Source organism: Homo sapiens, chromosome 3 (assembly GCF_000001405.40).
Source record: "Homo sapiens chromosome 3, GRCh38.p14 Primary Assembly".
Classification (NCBI taxonomy): domain Eukaryota; kingdom Metazoa; phylum Chordata; class Mammalia; order Primates; family Hominidae; genus Homo; species Homo sapiens.
The window spans coordinates 36,841,526-36,860,090 of NC_000003.12; the positions used below are offsets into that span (position 1 = coordinate 36,841,526).

Below are 18,565 nucleotides of genomic sequence, written 5' to 3' on the forward strand. Positions count from 1 at the left end.
GCAGAACTTACCACCCACAAAAGGTTAAAACTGCCAGATGGGATTGCTCTCCCAGACTCTCTTGCAGCTAGGAAGGTGTATGTGACCTAGTACTGACCAATGAGATATAGAAGGAAGACCACTGAGGACTTCATGATAAAAAAAATAGAGAGATCAATGAGAAGAAAGTGCCTGCACTTCATTCCTGCTTGGAATTCTGCTGAGGGAACGGAGCACTTGGAACTGCCACAGGAGCCATTAGGCAACCAATGAAAGGGAACATCTCAGACAAGCTGCAGATGACACAGGGAAGAGATGGAATGAGACTGGGCCCATGTTGACTTTGTTGAACTGCAGAACCAACCCTAAGACCTGACTTGTTGTTATTAGATTAAAGCAAAAAAAAAAAAGCACTCTTTTAGTAGGGTGTTTAAAACTTGCAGGTGAAGTCATCACCACTATTTCAAGGGAGACACACATCCCAGCCATGGTGCCCCACCCAAAACCCTGTGATGTGCAGGAATGCTGACTTTGGGAAAAGCAACATGGCTCTTTAACCTGGTTTCAAAATGTAAAGAGGTCTGCTACAGAGATAACACTTCCTGGAAGAAAACTGCTCAGGACCACTAACACGGCTTGTAACTGGAAATTGGTCAGTGCAGTGTAATAAAAAGCCTTAACCTATCTTCACCAGACTCAGATTGGCAATGAAATCTGTTTGATCAATTTGAAAAAAATCAAATGAAAGATCAAATGAAAGATCTTTTACTGCTTTAAAATGCAGTATGATGATAGCAAAGCTTTTAGGCATAGAGTACAGGAGGGAAAGAAAATATATACAAGGATTCCTTGGTGGGGCAAAGGCCATAGCCCTTCATGATCTATCAGCACATGCTGGCACTTGGCCAAAATGAAGAGTTGTCATGCCTGCACTGACCAGAAAAGGAGCAGGACAGGAAGCTCTCCTCATCTTGAGGTGACCTGATGTTTCAGAACACGTGGCACAAGCACCATTACGCTCATCCTTTCCTGGTGACAAACACCATGATGTGAAACCTGCCTGTGAGGTCTGACGAGGGCACCAGTGACAAGGACCCCTCCTAGTCCAACCCCTTACCTTCCAGCACTGGTGCTTGGCGTAGTAATCTCCCTGTGCAATCCACTCCGCAGGAGTTGAGGTCTTAACGAACATGCTATCATCAAAGTCTAAAATGAGAAAGAAAAGTGTGTTTGCTTCTCTGGGCTTTCTTTCACTTAAAACTGTTGTTATGGGCTGAGTTGCATCTCCTCCGCCAGCCATCAAATTCACTTGTTAAAGTCCTAACTCCCGGTACCTCAGAATGTGGCTGCATTTGGAGAGAGATAGGGCCTTTACAGAGGTGACTAGGTTAAAATGAGGCCATTAGGATGGCCCCTCATCCAATCTCACTGGTGTCCTTAGAAGAAATTAGAACACGGGGCGACCCCAGGGGCAAGAGAGCACAGAGGAAAGACCACGTGAGGACACAGAGTGGCTGGCTGCAAACCAAGGAGAGAGGCCTCAGAAGAAACCAACCCTGCCAACACCTTGATCTTGGACTTCTAGCCTTCAGAACTGTGAGAAAATACATCTCTGTTGTTTAGGCCATCTAGTCTGTAGTATTCTGTTATGGCAGTCAGAGCAGACTGACCTGTGTTGTCTTTCTAGTATTCATGTAAGATATATTTTAACTTACCAAACCACATTTGTGAGGTTATTGAAAGGAGGAGGTAGAGGGGAGAAAGGATGTGGTTTGGTTTTTAAGTTTTGGTCTACTTTCCTATTCTATGGCTACAAATCAGAAGACAGAAATTAAAAATTCCTCCTTGAAAACCCAAAGTCAAGTGGCTCTTAGCAAGCTCCCAGGCCAGGGCTTCAGCAAGAAAAAAAAGGTGACAAATTTTACACTATTTCCAAATGTGCAAACTTTGCCCTCATCACAATAAGTAATCTGACACATTCCTATTGGTGGACAGAGACCATTGTCACCACCTGCTGTCCATCCCTTCTGTTATCCTCACTAGCCTGCTGGTGACTATTTCAGCACTGCACCCCACCCCCACCCTGCCACCTGCATCCCCCAGAGTATCACTAGACAATGGGTGACAATCCCTGCAAGTTCTGAGCCACAGATTCATGAAACACACAAAATACAGTGAATACCAGGGTAATACTGGCAGACAAATCAGAGCTGAAGGAATCAGAGACACCTAGGCCAATGGATATCAACAGGGGAGTGAGGCAGACAGGTCAGATTTGTTTAGAAGGTGCAAAAACACGTTAAGCATCACAACCTGATCCCTCCCTGCTCGCCCTCTGCTGGTGCTGTGTAGCAGTACAGTGATGACTTAGCATCTTGTTCTGACTCCGTATGTGCTGCTATGAGTGCCCCTGTGACATTTAATTCCCACGGCAAAACCCCATCCATATTATCTCAAAATAGGGCCAGTGAACTCTGCAGATGCCATGTAAAAGAAACACAAATTACATAATCACCATACTGAATCCAAACACAATGGGAACAGATGCTTTAGAAGACTTTACTATGTACAACTTAAAATTTGTAATTAAGACTGCACTTTTTCTTGCATTCTTAATGCTGCCAAAACATAAAATAAATTGTGATCTGTTTTCATTTTGAATTTTTAAATTTAAAAAAGTCACTTAGCTTCTATGATCTTTGGTTTTTTAGTTTGTTTTTTGTTTTTTGTTTTTTGTTTTAAGATGGAGTCTTGCTCTATCACCCAGGCTGGAGTGCAGTGGCACAATCTTGGGTTACTGCAACCTCCACCTCCCAGGTTCAAGCAATTCTCCTGCCTCAGTCTCCTGAGTAGCTGGGACTACAGGCATGCACCACCACACCGGGCTAATTTTTGTATTTTTAGTAGAGATGGGGTTTCACCATGTTGGTCAGGCTGGTCTTGAACTCCTGACGTCAGGTGATCCGCCCACCTTGGCCCCTCAAAGTGCTGGGATTACAGGCATGAGCCACCACGCCCAGCCATATGATCTCTTATAGTGGATGCCAGAACATACTTGGGGAATAAAGGGGGATGAGCTGAAGGAAAGATTGAGAATGCCCATGCTAGGCCAATCCACTCATTTTCCTTTGGGAGAGAAGGTGGGACCTGAACAAGGTCATGTCATTACACAGGTAGAAAGTTTTTATGAGAAGCTATGTTTTGTTTTTTTAACTCCTAGCCTTTGACTTTTCCCATCACAATAGTCAAGTCTTAGGATAAGAAATCTAATCCTAGTCGCCAACCGAGCCATCAGTAATAACCAGAAATAGCCTCCAAACTGGCTGAGGAATGCTCAGGACAAACCTCTCTCCAGCAGCCAAACTCTGCTCCTTGCTCTACCCTTATAGAAATGAACAATAGCCTTGAGGAGACGACTTGACAACTAACCCTCAAGAAAGACAACAATTTTCTCCTTCATGAAGGGCTGATTATTTCTCTTCTCAGTTATCGTATCAGGAGAACTTCACTTCGTTAGGTAGCCTTTGCAAATTATGAAAAAAAAATACACAATTAAAAAAAAACCCTGCAAATAGCACAGAGGTAAGAAGGTGAAAAGTAAAAAGTGTCCATATCTACTCGACAACCCCATACCCACCAATCCTAGCATGAGAGGTAATCACTATAAACAGTTTTGCAACAGAAATAATAGGTGTATACATGAATTTATATGCATGCTATCTCTCCAAACTCTTGCTATTTAAACCCTTGTTACCCATAATCAGGAACTGAATACAGATAAGTTTTCTGATTAATTCCTTACTATCTGAACTATCGGTTCTTACTATCTGAACTAAGAGTTCTTACTGTCTGAACTCTTAGTTTCCTTGTTTTGTGAAACTCGGAAACCAAACAGATTCAGACAACCTGTTAACTCAGTAGCTGAACCCTCACAAACCCAGTTCTTGTTAAACAAACTCAGGAAATGAATTGGGTTTGATGGTTAAAGACACTTCAGTAGGTATTTGTATATATACACATACATACATACGCATGCATAAACATTCTATTCTGATATATACTGATATGCATAAAGTTTTTATATTTGCATAATATAAAGTTACTTATAAATTATATCATTCTACCCATACTGTTTTAAATTTATCTTTCACCCAATACATCTTGAACATCTTTCCTTAGCAGTAAATGACAATCCACATCCTTTTTCTCTTTAATGGTTGCATAGTAGTCCCCTGAAAGAAATGAATTTAGCCTTTCCCTCATTGGTGGACACTTAGATTGTTTTTAGTTTCTTGTAACTACAAACAGGGTTGTGATGAGCATACTTACGCAGGTATCTTTGAGATTTTGAACACAAATATCTCAGATATATCCCTACAAGTGGAACTGTTGGGTCAAAGTATGTACCATCTTTATTTTGATAGATACTGTTAATCAGCTGTACAAACACTCATAGCACTTTGTATTCTCCCAAAAGGGCCTATTTCCTCTAGCCCTGTCCATAATCCCCACTTTTAAAGGACAAATAAAAGATCTTCCCTGAAGGAGTTAACCTTCCCAATCCCACTACAGCTACACTTTCCCATGCACCTTGGCAAATGTGTAACAACTTCCATTTCTCAGAAGATTGTGGAAAAGAAAGAAAGCACTTTCAAAATACCACACCTTTTATTCCTGACCATAAGAACAGTTGAGAGAAACACGATTCCTCCATCAGTTAAGAGTATTTTAACAGGATCTTACCTTTATTTTCATCTGTCTTTACAACTTGGACAAAATCTCTTCTAATGAAATATTTGAATGCGGGAGCCCGTTTCTCTCGGTTTTCATCAAAGATCCAGAGGTTGACCCGAGCCCGTGTGATGGCGGTGTACAGCTGCTTCAGCTCTCCGTTGAGGAGCTAAAGATAACATTGAGGACAAAGATGATGAGCCATTTGTCTATAGCTACAAAGTGACACACTTCAATGGGCTTACTCTAATTTTGGAAAAACACAAAAACTAAATTTTAGAGAAGCATAGCACAGCTGAGAACAGGATACCAGGAGCTCACTGTGGCCACAGCACAGGTAAGTGAGGCTCCAGTGAGGCTATGAGAAACTCCACCTCTTTCCCACCTAAGCAGGAAGTGAGCATGCCATCTGTATAGGATGACCTTTGAATCAGCCATAATTTTTTTTCCTGTTTTTGCTATAATTATTTTAAGAGTTAATTCTGAAGTAATTATAGACTCACTGAAAGTTACAGTGGAAGATTCACTGGAAGAGTACAGACAGACCCCGTGTACTCAGTTTATCCCAAAGATTACATCTTACACAATTGCTGTGATTTATTTTTAAAAATTAAACCAGTCATACACTTTTACTATAACTATCACTAGTACTGAATTACTCCAAACCTACCTTATGATTGCATCAAAATTTCTGAACAAAGCTGAGTTCCAGAGGTGAACTAGAAAGGACAACCCTTCTCCTTCCGTTTTCAGACAGTATCCACCCATCAAGCCCAGTTCTCTACTAAAAAAAATGGAATTTACCAAAACTGAGATCCCTGCCCCTTCCTTTCTTATCCTCAATTCCCCGTTGCTGAGGAAAACCAGCCAAGTGCAAGCTCCATTTTTCCTCTCATCTTCTCTTCCAAGCCTTTTTCACTACTTCCATGTCAAGTACATGTGTTGACAAATGGCAGAAATTCACCTTGTACATTTCTGGATTCACCATGAGAGATCGACCCTGAGAAGAGCCTGGTTTGTCCAGGGGTACTTCAACCAATGGCCGGTTTTCCTCTCTGGAGTCAGTTGAGGTAGGTGTGAATGAGGAAATGATCTTCCATTCCTTATAAGCCTGAACAACAACAAAAAAGTGAAGACCAACAGAATATGCTTTTGAACTACGCATACAGCCTCCCTGAGCTTCATGGAAAACTAAGCCTCATCGGGGGACCAGGCCTTCAACCCCAACTTTGAGAAAGATCCATCCTGTGATCTTAGAATGGATAGGAGGGAGATTAACTTGCACAAGCAGAGATCAGGGAAGTTGTGAAAATTCCCCACACACTACACCAAGAAGCTAAGAAGCCAGGCACACATGACCACTTCCAGGGAAGAATGCTAAGGGCTCAGGGAGTTATTCTCATTGAAAGAATTTCTACAATCAGTATGGACAGGGGAATCCCCACCCCTTCTCAAAACATGGTTAAGAGATGCACATAGGGTCAGCCGTTAAGATACATGTGGCAGAATTTTCTAACTAAATTATTTAACCGAGGATGAAGAAAATCCAGTGCTATGGTGTGCAAGGTAGACTCTGAGGTCAGACAGAACAAATTTGTATCTCAGTTCTTCCATTTATTAATTATGCAACCTCGAACACATTGTTTATTCTCCTGCTCTATAAAATGAGAATAATAATACTCAACTTTGTTGGGAAAATAAAAACAGATAATCAGTGTCAAATGTCTAGTACAATGTTTAATAGTTGACATTTTACCCATTTTTTTCCTTTACCCAAAAGCCAAAACCAAAGTGACTACAAACACCAGGGGTTGCTAAATTTTTTCTTTAAAATGTCAAATAATAAATATTGTTATCATTGCGGGTCACATGATCTCTCTTTGCAACTACTCAATTCTGTCATTTTGGTGCTAAACCAGCCACAGTCAACAAGTAAATGAATGAGTGTGTCATGTTCCAACAAAACTTTATTTGGGAACACTGAATCAAATTTAATATAATTTTTATATACCATAAAATATTATTCTCCTTTGGGTTTTTTTTCTGGCCATTTAAAAATGTGAAAATCCTTCTTGGCCCACATGCCATAAAAAAACTCCGGTAGTCTGGATTTGGCCAACAGGCTGTAGTTTACAGACCCCAGTAAAACTGAAGTGCCCAGATTACATGCAGAATTTAGAATTCAAAATTCTTAAGAAACTTCATATTTCATACTTTCCTGTGTCTTGTGAGAGTAGCTCTCCTAGCCTTTACTTTTCTTTTTATAAAATGGTGCTACTTGCCATCTATGTAACTTTTAAAGCATGCTGAAAAGGTGAAGTGGATAGAGTTTACTACCTGCCTTAAGTTACTCCATCACTTGAACTATGTAAACAAGGTTAAATGCCTTAAACACTGTCTATTAAATAGGAATGGTTATGCTACTAATCAATTATAGTACTAATCACCATGTTTTGAAATCATGAAATCACTTAGGTAGTTGGAAGGTTTAAAACAATCTTCAGGACATATTTGTGACTGTCCTTTTTGTGAAGCTATGCAGACAACAAAATTGTTTACCAAGGAAAGTAGGCAGAAGACACAAGTGTTTGACATTTGAGAGGATCCTCCTGGCAGGTAGCATGAGATACGGACTGGCTAATATTGAAAGGGCTAAGGAAGAACAGGGTATTTTAAAACAGCTGTAAGAGAAGCAAAAGCTGCTCAGATGGCACATGAATGGCCTGTTTCATGAATCAAACATATTTTATTTCCAAGGTGGGGCCTTTTAGGAGTGCGCTTATGTACTTGTAGCAAGGATACAGGCCTACAGCACTTGGGGGAATAAAAGCAGGAAAATTTAAAGTCTTCCAGTTTCTTTTCTTGGTACTATCAATTGTGAAGGAAAAGGCTTAGATTTTACTAGCAATCCTACCTTTGAGGGGCCTATTCTCTAGGTCAATTAGACAACCCATAAAGGTTGTAGTTTTCACAGTCCCTTCTGTCCCACCGCCATGAGTATGAAAGAAAGGAGGTCCCACTGGGGCAAGGTATAAATGGCAGTTACCCTTCTAAGTCCCCACAGAAGGATAGCTTGAGGGTGACTGGAAGAATGACTTCCTCTCCCCCAAAAAGAAGGCAACATCCTACAAAAAGCTTTGGGGTAGCCATTCTGTGGTCCCTTTCACATCTCAAGAGATGGCTCTGGTGACCATGTGGTTCAACAGGTAACAATAAACCCTCCAGAGAGAAGAATCACAAACCAGGCCAACAAGCCCCATACCCCTCAACCCACCCACATATAAGCCCAGATAACAGCTGCTTCAAAGACAGAGCTTGCCTGAAATATAAATGAGATGGAAGAAGAGGTCAAGGAGAGAGAGGAGCTCTCCACAGTTCCCCAAGTTCAAATAGCAATCACTGTTCAGCAGCCTTCAGTTACCTTGAAAGAAACCCCATGTAAGCAGCCAGACCACAGGAGGCTGGGGATATATGGGACCTGTCTTTCCTCTCCTTTTATGAAAGCGTTTCCTCTCATCTGCTGACTGACTCCCTTTGGCCTGGAGGTTGTAAATGATAAACTGAGAGTGTGCTTTGGGCCAGGGAATGCATGGTCACATTAACACTGGGAAGAACCCCAACCAAAGTATTTTCCAAAGTCTTACTGTGTACACAGGATGAAGTGGATGTTTACAAAAGATTCTGTTTGGGATTGTTTTAGTTTCAGGCAACTCCCTGAGCCATTGGTGGGAGCACCGGGTCAAGATACCTGAGCCTTGGCCACTTCCAGGATCAAGGTAAGACACATAACTGGATTTTTCTTTCACAAATAGAGCCAACCACAATTTACAGATCCTTAAGTCCAGAGCTCCTTGAGCTTCTTACTCGCACAAGCATACAACTGGTACTTAATAAAGAACAGAAACAACAAAGTCTTACCCTTCCTCTTTTAGGAGAGCCTCAGTCCAACCATGACCGATGGATGTATCATTAGAAAAAAAAGTTAGTCCTCAGAGGTAAAAATGGTTCCAGGGTTAATGAGTGTGCATCTGATTTTATTAGCAAAATTTAACAGGAAAGGAATGTACATAAGGAACAGCAATGATACACTAATTGTGGAAGGTTCTGGAATTCAATTCGCATGCGAGGCTTTAAAAGGAAGGAAAATGGAAAGAGATTTAGAACTCAAAGCATCTGAGTTCATCTCCAGGCTCTGCCATCTACATTACGACTATGAGAAATGTACTAATCTCAGTGACCTTCTGCTTTATCTACAGATAAAGGTGGCTCATGCTTATAATCTCAGCACTTCGGGAGGCCAAGGCAGGAAGATTACTTAAGGCCAGGAGTTTGAGACCAGCCTGGGCAACACAGCAAGACCATATCTCTATAAAAATAAAAATAAATTTTAAAAAATAGAATGAGAGTAATAAAAATACATATAACCTCAGAGGGTTGGTGGAGTGAGACAATGACTTCAAAAAGTACTCTGTAAACTGCAAAGCACCTATATCAATATTGTAATAGTTGTGCTATTAAGGCAAAATAACATTTAAAAAATGATAAGAAAAAAAGGAAGGACTCTATCTAAAGGGTCAGTTCTGGGGCAGATTTTTAAAGTGTTAAAGCCAACAGTGCTCTTGACTTGGGTATAACATAGCCCCTTCAAGCATGCATCATGTGCAAAGGAAGTCTGCAACAAGGACTGGGACACAGCCAGCTAAGTCCCCAGAGAAGACCCCACAGTACAGTCAGCAGCCAGCTTGAGTCTCCACCAAAAGATAGTGGGAAAGAGAAAACAGTGGCTAGAAAACCCAGGACAACGGCTGTGAGTTGGTAGCTCTACCCATAATGAACTAAGCTTGGGGAGAAAAACCCACAAGGACTCAGGAGCCAAGTGAAAGCAGTGGACCAATACAGAGGTCACTGGGGGTCAATGTGGGGACTCTTTGGCTGCCATCATCTGCATGAGCTGCAAGCAGTGGTAGTGAAGCCATGCTAGAGGGGTCTCTCATGCAAGGAAGCTGTTCTTGTCCCCCACATTACCTGATCCAGAGGGCAGGAACCAAGCCTCATTTGTCTTCCTGGAATTGTCTCTATCTATGAACTGACCTTACCCAGTTCTGTCATCACAGGGTGGACATTGCTAACCTTGGCTTCATCTGTAAGGCTCTCCTTAGAGCTTGCTCCAACTTGGGCATCCCTGGGAGCCAAGGATAACAGTGGCTAATGAGAACTGGACACTGGCACTTGGGTACTAGAGAGCCAAAGAAGGGCAGGGCACAGGGGGAACTAGCCCATGACACACTGTGAAACAACCCACAGCTAATGTCAAAACCCACATCTAAACACACAAAACCTCATACTGAATGAATGATGCTCTAAAACACAAACAGGAGCCTGTGATAAACTCTCTTACCCTCAACTCCAAATTCTCTTCCCCAGAGGGAAGTTCAGCTCATACATAAATATTCATTGTGTGAAAAGAATTAGGTGTGACATACCTCAGAATCAGTAAAAAAGTTGTAAAGGAGGACATCATCAAATTCTAAGCCTTTTGCTTCATAAATTGTTAGCACAAGTGCTAACCCCAGCTCTTCTGGAATTTTCTCCTTTGCCGTTTCATTGGCCACAAGGATTACCTGAAGAAAAACAAAAGAACATCAAATTCTACAGAGAAAACCCCAGTAAGCCTCAGTCTATTTCTATGGGAGATAGGTAATGTTTTTAAAGAGAAATGGCCAGCATAAACATGGTCAGGCAGGCCAGGGGAAAGATTGAAACACTTGGTCACTCAGCCATCTCTGGAACTCACCCACTGTGGGACAGGGACTATTTTTAATGCTACTTTGTGGTATAATTTAGCTTCTCAAACTTTTTTCAATTGCAAACTGTCTTTTATTTCAAAACATAAAATCCCAAGCAGCTCACCTGGTGGGCTCCAAATTCAATGGGCTGAGTTTTCCTTTTATTCCCTCGTAGCAAAATTGCCAAGTCGCTTACACTACAAGACTCCAGAACAGTTGGCTTAGGACCATCAAAGAGGCCAGAATCCCTTGGAAGGCGATCAAAAGATTCTGGGAAATAGAACTGAAGTAAATCCACCACTCCAGATGCCAGATTGAGGATTCCTGGAATGAAACAGAAAACCCAAGTTGGATAATTAACAACATGGCTGAGTTTTTTGGTTATTTGGGGTGGGGGACATGTTTTTCCTGAGAAGCAGGTTTGGCCCCTACAGTATGTATAATTGCAAGCCCGTTTTCAGTTCCCATTTGATTACCTCTGCAGCCCTGAGCTCTCTGGGTGCAGGGGATGAGAAGGCAGAGATATGTTGCTGTGCTGAGAGAGTTTTGTGGGATCTCATTCCCAACCTATATTCATATTAGAGAAAATTACCTCACAAAGAAGAGTCAAGGCAAAAATGTAATATAAACAATGAGACCTCAGGAGGCTGAGGCAGGAGAATCGCTTGAACCCAGGAAGCGGAGGTTGCAGTAAGCCAAGATCACACCTCAGCACACTCCAGCATGGGTGACAGAGCGAGACTCCATCTCAATTAAAAAAAAAAAAAAAAAAAAAAAACAATGAGAGCTGTTAGAATGCTCTCATAAGGGGCTGGTATTGACTTTGGTAAGAAAACCAGAATTGCCTTGTCCTCTCCCATTGGTGCTTACAGAACCAATATTACCATGGTAAAAACAGTGCTGCATGTGAGCTAAGGACAGCAACCAAGGCCTCCATCACCCTTTTCCCCCAGGTTTATACCCAGTTGAGAGAGGATTACACTAAGAAAAAATGTCAGAGCAGGAGAGAGGATTTTCCAAAGAGATTTATTCCTGGGTCCCATTTCTTCTCTAATATCTGAAGTGACGTTAATAGTGACATTGGCTTAATGCCTATCATACAGCAGGCACCTTCAAAAAAGTCATCCCATTTAATCCTCACAACAACAAATCCTCACAACAATGCAGTGAGACAGATGAGACAATTGCACTTTTACAAACAGGAACTCTGAGGTCTGAGAAGCTAATAGATATCTCCCAGTGATAGGATTTGAACATAGACCTTCCTGGGTGTCTCCACTACTCTTAGAAGCCAGGTGCCCTTTTCAAACACCAGATAGAATACAATGGTCTAGGTAGAACGTCATGAAATGGGCATATGTATCCCCATTGCTATTACCAAATAGTGAAGGGAAAATGTGACTATCCAATACTGTTGTTATTAAAAGTATATAATATAAAGCAATAAGCCTAAGTGGAAACTGCTGAATCTAAGCAAATAAGCTTCTACTGTGGTTCCCTTCCCATTAGGAGTTAGCAGGGGCCAAATATATATCTACATTAACAGGAGAATCAGAAAAGGGCACAAAAGTTGCAGTAGAATCCACTTAAATGGCCTTCTAGGGAACTAGACAAGTAATTTTTGATGTAACCATACTCAAAAAACAAAAGATGGTTCAACCATAGAAAGGAATAAAGTGCTGATACATACTATACATGGATAAACCTTAAAGACATTAAACTGAGTGAAAGAAACCAGACACAAAAGGCCATGTATTATATGATTACACTCATATGAAATGTCCACAATAGGCAGATCCGTAGAAACAGAAAGATGAGTTGTCACCGTGGAGTGGGAAGAAGGACACAATGAGTAGTAACTGCTATGATTATGGGTTTTGAGGGGTTTTTAATTTCTGAAAATGTTCTAGAATTAGATGATGGTGATAGTTACACAATTTGTGAATACATTAAAAAACACTAAACTGAACATTTCAAATGGGTGCCTTTTATGCTATGTGAACCTCAATGAATGCACTAGAACTCCACATTATCAACATGCAAAATTCTCAACAACAGGCTGGGCACGAGGGCTCACGCCTGTAATCCCAGCACTTTGGGAGCCTGAGGTGGGTGGATCACCTCAGGTCAGGAGTTCAAGACCAGCCTGACGAACATAGTGAAACCCCATCTCTACTAAAAATACAAAATTAGCTGGACATGGTGGCAGGCGCCTGTAGTCCCAGCTACTTGGGAGGCTGAGGCAGGAGAATTGCTTGAACCCAGGAGGTGGAGGTTGCAGTGAGCCGAGGTCACGCCACTGCACTCCGGCCTGAGCAACAGAGCAAGACTCTATCTGAAAAAAACAAAAAAAAAAGAAAGAAAGAAATCTCAACAACATAACATTAGGCAAAAATACCCAGTTACAGAAAGATATGTCCAGCATGATCCCATTACAGTTTTTAAACATGTAAAGCAATACTCCATATTGTTCACAGATATTTGTCGGCCAAAGGAGATAAATTTGTTAGTATCTATAAACCATAAAGGAAATATTCCAGCATTGGTACCCTGTTATTTAAACTTGTGTACCTTAGTTTCTCCTTTGTAAAATGGGTCTGATGCTTACCTCGCAGTGGTGTTATGAAGATTAAGCACTATACGTAAACTGTTTAGCATTGTGCCTGGCACAGAAAGAGGGAAAAACTAAGAAACAAATTAAAAGCACCCAAGTGTGTGTTAACTCCCACTGCCTACCACCCTCCCTTTTTTTTTTTTCCTTCTCTTTGGGAGAAAACCTGCTTCAAGGATTAATGACTTGTAACTGGTATATTACTTTATATAGAACGAGCAGGTACTTCCCAAGTACTTTAATGAAAGTTCTCAAACAGTTTAAATGTTCCCCTGAAATGTATTCATGTTATGGCAAACTCCTTGAGATATAATTACTTAAAGGTCAGTTGCCACCCAACCACAGCTTAAATTATTAACTTAAGGAGCAGTGGCCAAAATCATACTATCTCTTGTCCATGAGCGTATTTACTAACAAATTCCAAAATACTACCCTTACTTCAGCTGTAAAAACCTAACAAGAGCTAGTCTGCAGCTTCAAAGGCAGCCCAAAGTCTGTGCCTAAGCACCCCCAGTAGGCAAACCCAAGAGCTGGACTTACCTGAGTGGGACCTGTAATTCTGGTACAGCTGGTGGATCTTCTTGGGCTTCCGGACAGCACACTGCTTGTCTATGGTGTTTCTGCTGGCATAATGGAACAGAGAGCGCAGATCGCTGAAGCGGAAGGCCACGCCCTTCATGATGCTCTGGGCCGTGTCCCCCGTGAGGAACATAGAGTTGGGGTCATTGATGCATTTCATCAGCAGCGCCAGCTCGGCCTGGGTAAAGTCTTGAATCTCATCACCATAGAGCTCGTGGATGGACCATGGGAGCACCCTGAGCTTCGACAGCCTCCGGGATATGTTGTACAGAACATCCTCTTCATCAAAATAACCTTTCTGGGACCTGATTTGCTGATACAGACTGAAGAGGCTGTAGATCTCACTCCGGTCTTCCTTGAAATTGGGGCACCGTTTCCTCCCTAATTTCTTATATACTTCTTCAGTGAGTCTCCCATGGGGACAGCTGAGGGCCTCAAAAGAACCCTTTAGAAAAGATTTTATTTCTTTCCAAATCAGTGCAGGGTTGTAGGCAGTCCTCCCTTTGGTCATTTTGGGCCATATTTCATTTTTGAACACCTCAAACGTCACGTACACCCGGGGGTCACTGTCACCCGTACGCATTTCTACAGCTTTATCCTCCTCACTGTAGTCCCCATCCACCTCAGCCTCCTCTTCATCCTCTTGCCAACTAGGAATGGTTGACTCTTCCTGTGCAGACCATCCTATGATGGTTCTTTTCAAGCTTCCATCTTCGTTTCTCAGAAAAAATGGTTTGGGCAGAGAAGCATCAAGCAGAAGAAGCAGCTGCTTGGAAGTGACAAACAGAGGAAAGTTCTCGTCCCTCAGGTCCTGGAGTTTGTGAATGTTGGGGTCCAGTGGTTTGTAATGACTAGTGGCCTTGGTGGACTTGGAAAGCTCAATGAAATTCCTTTGTACCTCCTGGCACAGCACATGGTTCTTGGTCACAAAGATCTGATGTAAATGCTCCAGCTGGTGGGGATGTTCTGGTGCACATACTTCTGCAGCTTGGCCGTCCCCTGCTGGCTCCACACCGGCTCCTCCTGCGCAGGCTTCATACTCCTGCTCATCTATGCTTTCTACTGTTTCCACTTCAATAGAATCTTCCTCTTCCTCGTCCTCTTCCTCCTCCTCTTCCTCCCCACCTGGACTCTCTTTTCCGGGTTCCACTTCCAACCTTCTCTTCAGCCAGACCTGTTTGGCCAGCAATGGGCTTCCTGCCTGCTCAGCTTTTTCCCAGTAAACGTGGAATTTCTTCCACAATCTGTACAAGCAGCAGGTTGTCTTCCCAGTGCCACTTCGCCCAATAAGGATGATGGGCTCCAGTGGCCTGGGATTGAGGTCGATCACCGCGTACTCAAGCTCACCCACCCGGAAGGGGTACTCCACTGTGGCTGTCGTGTCATTGAGGATGTTAAAGGCCATGTTGGTGCTGAAGCTGTGGAACTTCATGATGTTATATTCTGTCTCCACTGCACTGGCTGGGGGAAAGTACTCAGGATTGACATGCTCCCTGCCCTTCTCGGCCTCTGTGTCCTCCACATAGCAGCGAGGTATACGCTTTTGAATTTTCATGTTAGCTGACACTTGGCCTTTATTGATACCTTTCAGCTTCTTCCGCAGGACACAGGACAAGCCCCGGTTGTAGGCATTGCAGATGGCCTTGATGGAATCAGCCAGTTTGCAGTGATCTAAGACGATGTCCCAAATCCGGATGATTTCCGTGTAGATCCGCCCTGATTTCTCCATTGCACACGTGTTCTGCTCCGTGGCAATGATCTTCTCAGGGTTCTCACTGCATCGAGGGGAGAAGTCAATGGCGAGCTCCCAGAGCATCCGGGCTCCTTTGTCCAGCTTAGCTTCGAAGAGCTGGATGCTTCCTTTCAGGTGCTTCAGTCGCTTCTGCAGGCCCTGGGTCCACTCGCCATTTCCCAGCTGCTGAATGGCAAGGATGATTTTCTTCTTGATGACCTTGGTCATTACCTTACTAGACAGCTTCTTCAGCATTTCTGAAGTGCACTCGATCTCCCAGGTCATGTTATCGAAGTCCTGGAGGCAGGCCTCAATCTCCTGCGTGCTCCAGTCATCCTGATCATCATTGCCCTCCTTCCCCCTGTTATCATCAGGCACAAGCTGCAAGGCCCCAAGGCCCACCTGAGCATGTCCTTCCCCCACCTCACTACAGTCAGGGGCCCCTGCACCCAGAGTCGGCTTGTCATCTTTCTTTCCTTCTTTGCCAGCTCCTGCCTCCAGAGGCTCAGAGCTCTGAAGACAGTCCTCTGGGAAAGACGGATCCACTTCAACCTGCTGAATCAAAACTGTGATGTCCTGCATAAGGCAGTCTCTCAGCGAGCAGGGCCTGAGAGCTCCAGGCTCCTTCCTGGTCACCTGGGTACCTGGGAGAGTCTCCCAGCTGTCAGGGACTGCACTTCCTTCAGGCAGTGTTCTGGCAGTGGCACCACATGGCACTGACTTGAATGAACCCTGGGACTTGAGCTGAGATGTGTGACCAGGGGCAGTGGACTTTGAGAGCTTCCCCAGGTGGGCAGCAGAGTCCTGCCGGCTCCTCCTCCTGTTCTCCATCAGAGCTTTGTTCCAGGCCAAGAGCAGAGAGTCGTTCTTCTTAATCCGGTGCCGTGCATCTTTGCCCTCTTTGTTCTTCAGATTGAAGTTGATGTCAAACTTCACCAGCAGGTCTAACAGCTTCTTCACGCGCTTTAGCATGCCCTTCTGGAAGAGGATGTGCATCAGCGTGTTCCCATTGCTGTCCTGGACATTGGGGTTGAGGTAGTCGAATTCAGTGGGGTTGGACCAAAACAGATCCAACAGATGGCTGAGGAAGCTAAAACCAATGTCAGCTGAAAGACACAAACAAAACCCTGTGAGCACTGAGCCACTCTTCTTAGGGGACAGCAGACCCTGGGGTTTGAGAGTGATGCCAGCCAGGGGCATCTCAGAATGCTGAACTCCCCCAAAAAATCTGAAATCCATTAAAGAGCTCAGTGGTTCTCAACCAATGGTGATTTACTCCCCAAGGGACATTTGGCAATGTATAGAGACATTTTTTATTGTCACAGCTAGGGGAGTGTCACTGGCAGCTAGCAGGTGGAAGCCAGGGATGCTGCTAAATATCCTACAACGCACAGAACAGTGCCTTACAACAAAGAACTACCCAGCCCAAATGTCATGGTAGTTCCTGAAATGACCATACAAGATTCTAGCAAGATCCTTCATACGCAGACCCTTGAAAATGATATAAATAAATGGAAAGTATTTTTCAGCTACCAACAGCCAACTCTGGAACTTTAGAATCCTCCATCAACCCTCCCTGACCACTCACCATGGTGGTCACTTCTTCCCATTATGCTACAAGTGAGGGGCCAGGTGACATGGGCAGGCCTGGCCAAGAAATGGGCCTTTTTCAGATCACTGGTTTACACAAAAGGAAAGACCAGAAAACATAGCATCAGTTCTAATATCCAGCTTCCTCCTCAAGGAGACGGCTGCTTAAAAAACAAGGGCTTACCTTTAATCTCTAGAAAGATGTGGAGTGCTGCATGCAAAGGAGTATCACCTTCCGTGAGAGAAATAGCACGGGGGTCTGCGCCCTTGGTCAAGAGAAGGAAAGCCAACTCGAAGTCCTCATGTTTCAGGCACGTGACAACTGGCCTCTCCTGGCTCTCCTGAAGACCATCAGGCAAGGCTGGGAGAGGAGAGAAGGGAAGCGCAATGTGAGCAGGCACAGCCTGGCTCGCCTGACGAGAGAAGGAATGCTTCAGTTATTCAGTTGCAAGGGAAGAGCTAATGTTTACCTAACTTCCAAGATCCTCCTACCAGCACCCATTCTGGGAGGCAAAGGCTTCTGCCAGTAGCCACAAAGTGAAAGCCCAGCTCCTTCAAGCACCCTGTCTGGGGGCCTCACCCCCGCCTCCTCTCCAGCTCCCCACCACAGGAGCATAGTTCCCACCATTCCCACTGTCCTGGCATGAGGACAGGGCATGAGAACTGAAACCCTAACACCCACCTAACATCATACCTGACACAGTCAGTGTGAGGACACTTTCTACATCCCTTGCTTCTTTTTTTTTTTTTTAATACTTTAAGTTCTGGGATACATGTGCAGAACGTGCAGGTTTGTTACATAGGTATACACGTGTCATGGTGGTTTGCTGCACCCATCAACCTGTCACCTACATTAGGTATTTCTCCTAATGCTATCCCTCCGCTAACCCCCCACCTCCTGACAGGCCCTGGTGTGTGACGTGCCCTCCCTTTGTCCATGTGTTTTCATTGTTCAACAGCCACTTATGAGTGAGAACATGCCACATCCCTTGCTTCTACTGAGCTCCTATTCTCAACTGCCATCTTCCCTGACATCTCTCCACCCGAAATCACCTTCTTTTTAGTTCAGTCCACACAGCTCCTCTGCATCAAAGTTCCCCAACCTCCACCAGAAGGCAGACCCACCCACTATAGATCTGCAGTCTCCTCCACACACTTCCAGCAGCTGCGCACTCACCTCTGTGGGCTTGGTTCCTAGCACCTGATCCTGAGATGTGCTCTATAAGTGCTTGCCGAATCAAGAAATAAAACAGGAATTCCATGACAGCTGTGGTTTCCAGGCAAAGAAAGTAACACTCCACTTAAGGAAGGAGTTTAAAAAAATAAATTATAGAAGCCACCCCACCTACCTCCTGAAAGCTGTGGATGGAGCCAACACCTAAAGGCTCTGCAAGGTGTGTGGCACTTTGAGGGCTAAGGATCAATGTGCTATTGATAACACACAATGTCTTGTGTGTTACTGTTATATCTTACATATTATGTGTTATTGATAACACACAATGTCTTGTGTGTCACTGTTATATCTTACATATTATGTGTTATTGATAACACATAATG

General features: G+C 43.6%; 1 protein-coding gene across 13 annotated transcripts in view, besides 1 other annotated feature; it reads right to left on the minus strand.

Annotated features, from left to right (window-relative positions):
- Positions 1–18,565, minus strand: part of TRANK1 (tetratricopeptide repeat and ankyrin repeat containing 1) — a 118,926-nt gene that overhangs the window by 14,707 nt on the left and 85,654 nt on the right. For 11 of the 13 annotated variants that reach the window (XM_017007570.2, NM_014831.3, XM_047449328.1 and 8 more), the window contains 7 exons: positions 17,193–17,369; positions 13,648–16,524; positions 10,621–10,820; positions 10,194–10,331; positions 5,675–5,821; positions 4,723–4,879; positions 1,097–1,185 (listed from right to left, as the gene is read on the minus strand). In XM_017007570.2, coding sequence (XP_016863059.1) covers positions 1,097–1,185; positions 4,723–4,879; positions 5,675–5,821; positions 10,194–10,331; positions 10,621–10,820; positions 13,648–16,524; positions 17,193–17,369 — 3,785 coding nt within the window. Of the gene's footprint in view, positions 1–1,096; positions 1,186–4,722; positions 4,880–5,674; positions 5,822–8,723; positions 9,893–10,193; positions 10,332–10,620; positions 10,821–13,647; positions 16,525–17,192; positions 17,370–18,565 lie in introns of those variants that run through there. The other 2 variants (XM_047449331.1, XM_047449332.1) reach the window with 1 other exon arrangement.
- Positions 16,276–16,459: a silencer, noted in NCBI's record as "fragment chr3:36899292-36899475 (GRCh37/hg19 assembly coordinates)". NCBI's record gives its function as "represses an EF-1alpha promoter that drives an FKBP-Casp9 reporter gene in an ReSE screen in phorbol 12-myristate 13-acetate-treated (for megakaryocytic differentiation) K562 erythroleukemia cells {active_cell/tissue: K562(+PMA)}" and the evidence as "EXISTENCE:reporter gene assay evidence [ECO:0000049][PMID:32094911]".